The 12454-nt window shown below is 35.0% G+C and overlaps 1 pseudogene; it reads right to left on the bottom strand.

Moving 5' to 3' along the window:
* RPL32P25 (ribosomal protein L32 pseudogene 25) lies at window positions 624-1086 on the bottom strand (annotated as a pseudogene).

The following is a 12454-nucleotide window of genomic DNA, read 5'->3' as shown; positions in this document are numbered from 1 at the left end:
CTCTGAAGCCTGCTACCTCAAGGCTCTATCTACATGATAAGAACCTTGGCTTCCACAACCTCTCCTTTTATCTTAACTCAATATTTCTTTATGCTGACTTCAACTCTTTAGGCAGAGCTAAACTCTTTCGACCAATTGCTAATTAGGAAATCTTTGAATGCACCAATGACTTGGAAATCCCCCCGCCACCCAACTCCCCCACTGCTTCAAGATATCCCACTTTTCCAGGCTGAGCCAAGTATACTTTCCATGCATTGATTTATGTCTTTGCCTGTAACTTCTGTATCCCTAAAATGTATAAAACCAAGCTGCAACCCAGCCACCTTTGGCACATATTGTCAGGAAGGACCTCTTGAGGTTGTGTCACAGGTCATAGTCCTTAACCTTGGCAAAATAAAACTCTAAATTGATTGAGACCTGTCTCAGATACTTCTTGGTTTATAATACAGATTGGCAAAACCGCAAAGAAAAGCAAGAGACTAATTCTCATAAAAGCCAGCCTAATGGTTGCGTCTAGGGAACAAAGAGAGCTTTTAAGGTACTGGTAGTGTTCTGTTTCTTAACCTGGTTGTTGTGTATGCCATTATTTGTTATCTTATTCCTTAATTTATTCATACCTTTCTTGGCAGTTTTTATGGTTTTCTTTAAACACAAGTAAAACGTGCACACAACCTGTCTATTCATTTTCTTTGCTGTGCAGCCTGGCATTAGGATTGGTGACTCTGATGATGAGCTAGGCTGCTCTTTCCATGATGGCTGTGTGGTTCTTCTTTGAGAAAACATTGTGAGCATTCTCAGCCCAGTAAGATTTGTTGCACATCAGCAGCACATCCAGCTCCTTGACACTGGATACTAGGAACTTCCAGAAGCCATGGGCAGCATGTGCTTTGTCTTCTTGTTGCTCCTATAACCAGTGTTGGACATCAAGTCTGGCCCTTGAATCCTCTGCATACCCTGTTGTTAATACCTCTGGGTTTCCACCAGTTACACTTAATTTTGACATATCGATCTGTCCCGATGATGAACTTCTTGATCCTCTTTATGACAATCTTGGGCTCCACAAGGGGTCTGAGTGTGGCTATGATGGTGAATAGGAGATGGCTGCCACCTTCATAGGCAGCATCACAGAAGAGACTTTATTTATATGTTGTGTATTTAATATCTTTTACAATAAAAAATTTTTAAATGCTGTCAAATTAAGAATGTGAAAAACGGAAGGAGCATTGCAGTTGATCAACTAATTGATCGTTAAGTATGAGGATTTTGCACTCAAATTGCCTTGTGTCTTTAAGTTTCCATTCCATTTTAATGAAACCAGAAATTGAAATCAGAAAATGCATTATGTATGTGATTCATGCAAGAAAGACTTCAGAGAATAAAACCATATCAAAAAGAAAGGCCTTGGCCCTAACATCAAAAAGATTTGTGAATGCTGGCACATTATAAACTTTACATTAAAAATAAATTTTAAAATTATGTTTTAAGTTTAAAAATATAATTTATATATGTATGTATATAATGTATACATAGATAATTCTGTTTAACATACATACATAATTCTGTTTAACCCAATTTTATTTTTCTTTTTTAAGTTAACTAACCAACTACCACTTCTATTCACATCACATAAGAGGACATCTACTCTACTAAACAGTAAGGAAATCAACTAAAGATTGTGTAGGGCTTTGTTTGGAAACTAATGGGAAGTGAAGACAGAATGGCACAGAGGTTATGTATGTTTAAAAATTAAAACTGATTTTTAACACTTATTCTTGAAAAACATGCAACAAATATTAAGGAAAATTATCTCCAATATGAATGAGTATAACATTAAGTAATCTTCAAAGTAGTTTTTACTCATTACTGATTCATATACTAACCTAAAAGCAACATGTCAGTTTTCAAAGCACTAAAGAAAAAGTATATATGAATAGTGAGAGAGATACAGAGAGAGAGCACCCCCATTTATATTTGTGTGTCTCCATTTGTATAATCCTGCCTTTCAATACTTGCTGGAAAAATAGAAGATTATTCTACATCTGGTCTTTTGGTTAAAGTTAGCAAGGCATTTTTGTTAATCTTTGGAGTGATCAGAAGGTTTGAAAGATGTCTTAATCCTGCTCTGAGTGTGTTAAAGTAGATGTCTTTTTTCACTTTACAAAATCAAAAGAGAGTGGTGTTATGAGGATTAGATTTTGACAATTCAACCCAAATGACTTTGTTATGGAAAAATATTCTGCGTCCTTTCTCTAATCCAGAAAGTATATTCATAGAGAGGGCACTATAACTACACTAAAGTATAGTTGCAAATATTAAAATTAAATGTGATAGAAAAAACACAGCTGTTAAAGGGCAGTGACTGTGTGAATTCATTTGAGTGTTACATGTCTATGATGATGTGGATTATTCAAGATTTTTTCCAAACTCATTTCAAAGATTCTCACTTTAGCATTTCAAAGGTAGTGGATAATATTTGTAAAAAAAAAAAGTTTCACTTCTTTTAAATCAATAATAATAGGGCTTGAAAGCAAAATATGCAAAGGCTTATGAAATAATGTATACCAGGGAGTTCTGAATGTCAATTGTGTGCACAGATGTCTCAGTTGGGGCATAAAATATTGGCATGTCTCATAGCAGTTTTTCTTTCCTCAAGAAGTTATTTGCACTTGTGCAATGACACGAGCACTTCATGTGACATAGAGAAAAACTGAAAATCTCAAAAAGAAATGGATAAAGATTTGGATCTCCAAATTTAACTGACCCTGGAAGTAAGTTATTCAATAAATAAGACATTGCATATGTATATTTATTTTCTTTTATTTTAGATTCAAAACATATTAAGGCATATTTCACCTCAAAGAAGCATGTTCAAACTACTTTAAGTTTTTGAAGTTAAAAACATGTAGTGCTCCATTCAGAGAGTCCAGATTTTAAAAAGAAAGTTCAGTTGGCTCTATCACTTTTCCAGATATGATGGTTCCCTTCCCATTTCAATATAATGTCAGGCTTTTTGAATTCTTCCTATTATTCCTTCAGTAACACAATTGGATTCAGACATTGTAGAGACTTGATTAGAGAGTTAGATTTTTCTACCTCTCTGTATAGTTCTTTCTCTAGAAACTGTTTCTCAAAGTATATTTCATGAAATATTAGTTCTGGGCTTTGCAACATACACTCAAAGGGATTCCATTTTCAAGTTAGTATAGAAGGTACTAGAGCCCATTCTTAGAGAAGTATAAAAGATATTGGTGTTTTGGAAGTTTTCTCTAGCAAACAAAACCGTTTAACTTATTTAGAAACTGGAATTTTCTAAGTTTATTTGGTGTTTTCCACATAACCCTAATTGATATCCTATGGTATAGTTAGCCAAATGCTGTTCTGTGTAATTTATCCTAAGAGTGTATTCTGGCGACCTTTAAAGAATATGAATTTCTATAAAATGCAAACACTGATATATTTGTATTTGCAATAAAAAAAATACTTTGTACATAATAATTAAAAAACCGACATTTTACTGATTTATCTTCAAGCTCAACACCACTCTTTCCAGAGATTACTTTTGTTTGCTTTGCCTGACTAAGGGGATACAGAGACTAAAGTTTGAGGAGCACTTCTTCACATGACATGGGATACTTTTCCAGTAATAATGATATCAAGAAACTAAAGTTTTAAAACAAGAGGCCAGAGTGGGGAAACACCTGACTTTTTGCTGTGTTCGAGGAAAGAATTTGGATCTGCATGAATTGATAGCTGTAGTTTAAAGACTGCATTCAAGGCTTAAGGCATAAAACAGGGTAAAGGAATACTGGTCTGTGTTCTAAGGGAATGTAGCTAAGGAGTCTTTGAGAGAACTTCAGAGGACAAAAGTAGGTGACATTTTCTGGACATTGTATTCTACTTTTATTTGAAACCTCTGATTACCCTTTTAAACTATTTCCCCCTTTTAACCTATATGGATTTTTACTTTTTAAATTTTTTTTTAGACAGAATCTTTCTATGTAGCTCAGGCTGGTCTCTAACCCCTGGGTTCAAGCGATACTCCCACCTCAACCTCCCGAGTAGCTGGGAATACAGGTTCGTCACCTCACCCAGCTGATTTTTTTCATTTCTTTACTAACTATTCCTAATATCATGCATTGGTTATACATTCATATCATTTTTATCTTATTTTATTATTTTCACTATTTCAACTTTTAGTTCTCTGGTTGTAATTATTTTTTTATAGAGTAGTCCCCCATTATCCACATGAGATACATTCCAAGACCCCCAGTGGTTGCCTGAAACTGTAGATAGAACCAAACTCTAGATATACTATGCACAGCTTCCTTTTTCTTTCTTGACAATTTCACAGAGAGAAGATTTATTCTTACCATAAATCTTAGCCACCTCTGCATACAACTTTTTTCTTTCCTTATTAAGTCAAAAACGTTCACCTTTTCATTTAAAGGAAGCACTTTATAGCTTCTCTTTGACATATCCAAATCACCAGCATCACTACTCTTGTACTGTGTAGCCACTATTAAGTAAAACAAGGATTACTGAACCCAAGCACTGAGATACTGTGACAGGTGATCTGATAAACCAAGACGGCTACTGAGTTACTAACAGGCAAGTAGCAGAGACAACATGGATACTCTGAACAAAGGGATTATTCGCATCCTGGGCACTACTCAGAAGAGCACACAATTTAGAAGTTATGAGTTGTTTATCCTTGGAATTTTCCATTTAATATTTTTGGACTGAGGTTGACCGCGGGTGACTGAAACTGGAAAGCAAAACCACAGATAAGGAGGATACTTCTGTATATCATTGATTTTTAATCTTTCTTTGTTAATTCCATTTTATTTCTATATCTCATTTTATCACCTAGTTTTATGTTCCTTAGCCTCTCACACTTTTCCTTTACATTGTTTGATAAATGCTTTTTAAAATTATTGTAGTTTGCATCATCTCTTTATTGATGAGTGCATCATATTTATTTCTTCTTTCTGCTCTAGAAATGTATTAAATGTCAAGCAACTAATAATAACAGAGGAAACTGTGAGGATACCTGTCCACATCCTAAGTAATGAAAGCTATTGGATGGATTTTGTCTCTAGCTGGCTCTGTGTGGCCCTTCCATCTTTCCTTAAAAGACTCCAGTTTCCACCCTATTCCTTTTAGTGTTAAATTCCTTGAATCTACAAACTGGATAATTATATTTACCTATAGAAAATCCATTTCAGCAGAGAAAAAAAGTGCTATTTTTTATGGTAAGGTGAAAATAAGTAAACATTCATTCATCCATTCAATAGATATTTATTCTTGTGAAGAAGTGAAGTGAGAAGGTCTATGTTCAGGGGTCTCTCTACATAATAACAACCACAACTTCAATAAGAATTAACACTTAAAGTTTTTTTCTGTATGATGAACACTATTAGAAGCATTTAGCATGTCCTAACTCATTTCATATTTTTTAAAAACTATGTGATAGATATTATTATCACTTGTGTACAGAAGTAAAAATTGAAGCAAAAAGAAATTAAATAAATTTCTCAGGATCATATAGCTAGTTAACACCTCAGGATTAATTTCAGCAAGTAAACTTGATGGTTTTAAGCCTTCTGTTTAAATTAAGAAGACATGATGTGTTCAAAACTAGACTTTTAAAATCCTCTTAACAATCTGTTTCCAAGTATCTATTTGATTCACCTTGGTTCAAACCAGTATTAAAAGAGGATCATCCACATATACAAATATTAGTCCTCATATGTTCATTACCCCCAATTTCTAAGTTTTGTCCTGCCTTCCACAGCAATTATACTAGTTTATCAAGGCATCCAGAGATGACAATTTAGGAAAATAGAATATCTTTATCTACAGCTGGAGCACCAGCTATATGAAATTCCCATATTATCATCTACTCTATTGAATCAGGCTTGAAAATATGTCAGCCTTATCTACATCTTTTGCTCTTCTTCACAGGCTCAAAATGGAGCCATTCTAAGCCATTCATGCATGCTTTATTTATTCTAGAAGTCATCTTGGTTATAGTTGGCTACCAAAGATAGGAATGAGTGACCTAGAAAATTTCCCTTACTGGTTATTCTTCTAGAGTTGTGGGATGGAAGATCAAAAGATTGTGACGGCTCCAATCTGGTCCCATTTATAATCCTCACATTCCTTGCACCTGAAGTTCTAACCCCTAATGAAGGACCTAATTTGTGTTCTTTTGATGAGGACTTCATGCCTTCCTAATCCCATCTTAGAGGCTTTTTATATGTTAGGAATGTTGCAACGGTGTGAGGGACAGCTGCGAGCACATTATATAGGTTAAACTATACGACCTACAAGTCGTTTTCACCAATTTCCATCTTTTCTCATGAGAACCAAGCCAAATTTAGGTTAAGAAGGAATTACTTAATTAAGGTTTTTAGAATGGTAGTGACTGCATCTTTTACTGAATTATTCATATAAACAAGAAACCAAATTCTAATTAAATATGTCATAACTATTTGAACATCAGAGTACTAGAAGAGCAAAGAATTGGTGTACTGTTTACTGTGCTTGCAATGCCCTTCCCTGCCATTCTTTTTTTTTTTTTTTTTTTTTTTTTTTTTTTTTTGAGACGGAGTCTCGCTCTGTCGCCCAGGCTGGAGTGCAGTGGCGGGATCTCGGCTCACTGCAAGCTCCGCCTCCCGGGTTCACGCCATTCTCCTGCCTCAGCCTCCCAAGTAGCTGGGACTACAGGCGCCCGCCACTACGCCCGGCTAATTTTTTGTATTTTTAGTAGAGACGGGGTTTCACCGTTTTAGCCGGGATGGTCTCGATCTCCTGACCTCGTGATCCGCCCGCCTCGGCCTCCCAAAGTGCTGGGATTACAGGCGTGAGCCACCGCGCCCGGCCTGCCATTCTTTCTTCACCTGGATAATTTATGCATTTTAAGTTCATGTATCAACTCCTCCAGGAAGCCTACCTTATACCCCTAAGTTGAGCTAATTATTCCTATCCAGCGCTCCCAAAGGATCATGTACTTATTTCTGATGGTGTCCTCTGTTTTTATTTTTTTAATTATCACAAGAAACAGTCATGTAAATTACGGAGGAATTTTACATATTACTCTGTATCTTTCATATAAAATTTCAGTGAGAAATTTTGTGTGTAATTCAATGCTATAAAGAGCTTTTGTTTCTTCTGAAAGACTCATGTGATTCTTCCTTCCTGATAATGAGAACGATATAACTGATGGTGTGTTTAATTTTATATATGGCTGCCAGAAAGCTCAGGGCCAAATCTTAAGATTCTGTTAACATTGGCATATTGGTCTAACCTTTTCTCTGGGTCTTTTATTCTTTTAATTTCATGTAGCTTTTGTTACGAGCCACCTTAAAACCTGTGTGGAAAAGAGAGTTTCAATAAATATTTGCCAAAATACAATGTAGATGAAGAAGGTAACTATCCAGTAAATTCTTTTATTCTAGAACAAACATGAGTTATTAAGTCAAAAATCTTTAATTAGGTTATCTTGTTTAGTTTGGGCTTTTTGTTTTCTAAGTGAATTGCATTAGTTTAGACTTGTTTGGCTATTCCTAATGAATCTGCATTCAGTAAAGAATTGACTGATTACATCTTAAGCTATGTTTCAAGGGTTTAATTAAAAAAATTGGGCCATGTACAACTCCGAAGAGCAACACTTCACAATCAACCCCTTCTCTCTTTTTTCCCCTCAATTTTCCTATTCAAGTTTACCTTATGTAAATGTTGCAGGCCTAGGAACATATGTGAAGTCTATATATTTTGAAACTGTAGCCCTAAAATGTGAGAGATAAAAAAGAAGGATTTTGTTGATGTTTCTTCTCTGCCATCAAATTACTGCTAAGCATGACACCGTTTTCTGAGATTTCCTCTAACTTCACTCTTATTTTAAAAAACCAGTATTTCATTTGCCTTAAGACCTTTGGAGTATAGGAATAGCATCTAAGAATATAGCACTGTGATTCTAGAGTTCAAGCTTTGAAATTTAAACACAGAGATCAAAGATCTCTATTTGGGTAATACAAAAAAAAAGTTTCTAGTTTTTCATCTTTGCATATAACCACACAGATGTTATATTTTGAACTAGTAGGGTATTCTAAATCACAAATAATATGAAAGCATTCCAAAGAGATGAATATACATTTTAGAACTAAACCTAGTCACATATTTTACGAAGAGAACATATTCTTCAGAAAGTCAATCACTCATCCAAAACAGTCTCCATGAATACCATTTTCCCTTGTGATTAAATGGTGTTCTTATGAGCATTGTCAAATCAGATCAAGAATTTTCTTGAGGCCAGTGTTTCTCATGTCTGTAATCCCAGCACTTTGGGAGGCTGAGGCAGGAGGCTTGCTTGAGCCCAGGAGTTCAAGACCAGTCTGGGTGAAGTACTGAGACCCCGTCTCTACAAAAAATAAAAAGAAATTAGCCAGGCATGGTGGTGCATGCCTGTGGTCCCAGCTACTCGAGAGGCTGAGATGTGAGGATTACTTGGGCTGGGAGGTTGAGGCTGCAGTGAGCCATGATCACACCATTGCACTCCAGCCTGGGTGACAGAGTGAGACCCTGTCTGAAAAAAAAAGTTTTTTTTTCCCTAAGGAGGCACCTATGAAACATATTCATTCATTCATTCAAATATATATTTATTAAATGTCTACTTTGTGCCAAGCCCTCTTATGGATGCTTGAGACATATCGGTGGGCAAAGTCAACCAAGATTCCTTTATGGAGTTTACATACTAGCTAAGAGCCACCGATAATAAACAACAGATATGTGCATTATATGACAAGAAACAGTTAATAAGTGATATAAGAAAGAAACAATTAGAGAAGGATAAAGGAAATGAGTTCAGGGATGTATATAAATTTTAAAATAGGATATTCAAGTTAGGCCTGAAAAAAAGACACATTTGAGCAAAGATTTAAAGGAGGTGTGAGAGCATTAATATTAGGATGGAAAAGTTGTTAGCAAAGATATGTCAAATTCATCTGGCTGTGGCAAGGGAGAAAGAAGCAAAAAAATTTTCAAGTCATTTTGAAGATGACTCGATTTTATCTTCAAGTCTGAATATTTCAAAGAGATTGTAACCCTAAGTGAAAATGTGGGTTTTAGATTAGTTTTCAACTCAAAACACAAATTCAATTAAGGTCAAGGAGAGGTGGTTATCTCTTATATACCCTTTTGTTGTTATAAGTTGCAGTAGAAATGCAGTAGATAACCTTGAAAGTATAAGCAACTTTATGTTTATATTTATGCATATATTTATCTTATATACAACATGTTTCTATATTATATATTATATTTATGTTTATATTTATGTATACCACATAAGTGTGATGTACATTAGATACCCAACATTAGACACTGAAAATAGGTACCAAAGCTCAACAGTTCATTCAGTACTTTCCAGGTGATTCAATAGCAATACATCAAGATGTAATATCTTGCAGGACAAATTCATCCTTCCCAAACCACCAGAAATCCTTTCTCTACTTACCAATGCTTGAAGCAATATATCAAGCAGTCATGAAAATACCAAGAATGTGAAAGTAATTTTAATGAATCAAAGAAGGAAGGCAACATGTCCACAGCTGTGTAGTTTAAGAGCCGTGATCAAACGGAGACAAATTAATTTACTCAATGCAAAAGTGACAGTTGCTAGATTAAATCACAATAATAGAGATCATTGTCTGAAATGATTAGATTAATATACTCAAACACAAAGACAGCTTTTCTCTAAAAATTACTTCAGATAGCTCAGTCTGTTGATATTTTTTAACATATCTCCAAGGTCACCAGAAAAAAACTAGAGGCACTGGGGTCTTCAATTACCACCAAAATTTTAGCTATGCTCAATCCTCCGCTTTGCTTTGGTCTGACCTATGCTATATGTCTCTTTTTTAAAAATGAATTTCATATAGAACTAGTATCCACAGAGCATGTATAACTTGCCAGGCACTATACTAGATGCCTTTATATGTATCATCTCACTTATTTCTCATATTCCTATATGTATGTATGTGTAGTTATATGCACATAATGTAGGAATATGGGATGGGAAGTAAAGAATATTAACTGCATTTTACAGAAACATGCTTGGGAAGTATTAGAGCCAGAATTCTACTCAGGGTTTCTAGTTCTGCTAAGCCATCTGCTGCTCAACAGAGACCACTGTAATAACTTCTATTTGCATAGCATTTTACTGTTTGTAAAGTACATTCATATTTTATTTGATTATATCATAACCTTAAAATGGTTCTAATTATCTTGATTTTCTTCATAATTCTCAGTCTGTAGATTGTTATAACTGCAAACTCTGCAAAAAAGGCTATAGCCACATGCCTATCTGTGTGTGTTTTTGAACTTTCATATACCACACTTATAAGACAAACTCATTACATCTGCCTCTCTCTCATGAGAAAGAAAGAGGCTGCATTTTCAGTAAATGCAATAATACAAAGTATGGCAAATTACTTAGCTTCTCTAAGAATGTATCTTCAAGTACAAAATAATAATAATAATATATACCTACTTCTGTACCTCATAGAATTGTTGTGAAGATAAAGTGTGATAATACAGTGTTTATAAAAGAGCTTGAAAATTGCTTATAATAATGCTTTTACCTAATGATTGCTATTAAAGATAATTTATAGGTACCTTTGTAATACATTTGCTTCTTTACTTTCATTTTTAGTTTCATTGCTTTTCAACATACATAAATATGTGCTTGATAGTAAAAGTTTATATGTACCAATATATATAAAGTAGAATGCTAAAATTCCATTTGATACTCACCTTTTTCAATTAAACTAATTTTCCTAAGAGGTAAACATGATTACTAGTTTGATACTTGTTCCTGAAGATCTTTTAATATGTATTTATATACATGGATTTAAGGCCTGCAATTTTTTCTAAATATATATTAATCAAATATTTTATTGGACAACTTTTTTGTTTTTGCGAACAACATGTCTTGGAGATCTTGAATAGCTGTGCAGTCGATTATTTTTAAATGGACAGTTAAGCTATTTCCTTTGTGTTTGTGTGTGTATGTCTATAATAAACACCCTTTTTTTTTTTTTTTGAGACAGGGTCTCGCTCTCCAGGCTGGAGTGCAGTGGCACAATCTCGGCTCACTGCAACCTCCACCCCCAGGGTTCAAGTGATTCCCCTGCCTCAGCCTCCCTAGTAGCTGGGATTACAGGTGTGTGCCACCACGCCCAGCTAATTTTTGTATTTTTAGTAGAGACGGGGTTTTGCCATGTTGGCCAAGCTGTTCTCGAACTCCTGACCTCAAGTGATCCACCCTCCTCGGCCTCCCAAAGTGCTGGGATTACAGGCCTGAGCCATCACACCCAGCCGAACACCCATCTTTATGCACAAGTTAGAATATTTTACCAAGGTAGAATCCTGTAAGTGCAATGTTGGGATCAAAAAGCATATTAGAAATTTGTATAGATACTGCCTGTGCCAAATTAGACATCCTCCAACAGTATATGAGTGTCTTTCTTGGAATGCTTGCAAACACTACTTACTGTCAGTAAGTCCTTTTTCTCTGTCCTATGAGTAAAAATGATGTCATTTCTATTTTAATTATCTTCGTTATTAGCAGCAAGGTGTACTATATTTTAATTTGCATACTATTAGATAATCACATTTTTTCCATGAATTATCTTCTTATGTCCTCTGCTGAGATGTTGCTTTTCCTATGATTTGTAGATACTCTTTGTATAGTATGGTCATTTTTCCCTTGTTATTTTATATGTAATAAATATTTTCTTCCTGTTTGTCACCTTTCTTTTATTTTTGTTTATGTTATCACTTACCAGAAACAAGTTTCACATATTAATATAGTCAAATCTGGTAGTCTTTTCCTTTTTGGTTTCTAGTTTTCTGATTTGCTTAAGGTATTTCTTATCCAAAAATTATAAAAATAGTCTTTTGCATTTTATACTTCTACTTCTACTTTTCTATTCATTGTAGTAAATACAGTTAGATTTGTATCTCAAACTATCTATAAAAAGATAGTTTTGATTGATTTAAAAAATATATATATCTATCTGGGCCGGGCATGTTGGCTTATGCCTGTAATCCCAGCACTTTGGGAGGCCGAGGCAGGCCAATTTCTTGAGCCCATGAGTTTTAGAGCAGCCTGGGGTGAAACCCCGTCTCTACTAAAAATACAAAAATTAGCCAGGCCTGGTGGCACATGCCTGTAGTCCCAGCTACTTGGGAGGCTGAAGTGTGAGGATTGCTTGAGCTTGGGAGGCGAAGGTTGCAATGAGCAGACTTCGTGCCACTGCACTCCAGCCACGATGACAGGGCAAGACTCTTGTCTCAAGAAAAAAAAAAATTAAAAATCTATCATCTGTCTTTTTAACATTGAGTGCAACAGGCAGCCAACATCATTTTTTGATAAGTTCATCCTTTCCCCACT

This window comes from Homo sapiens, chromosome 11 (genome assembly GCF_000001405.40).
Source record: "Homo sapiens chromosome 11, GRCh38.p14 Primary Assembly".
NCBI classification, from domain to species: domain Eukaryota; kingdom Metazoa; phylum Chordata; class Mammalia; order Primates; family Hominidae; genus Homo; species Homo sapiens.
Note: the sequence above shows the minus strand (reverse complement) of the source record. Positions and strands in the feature narration are given on the sequence as shown.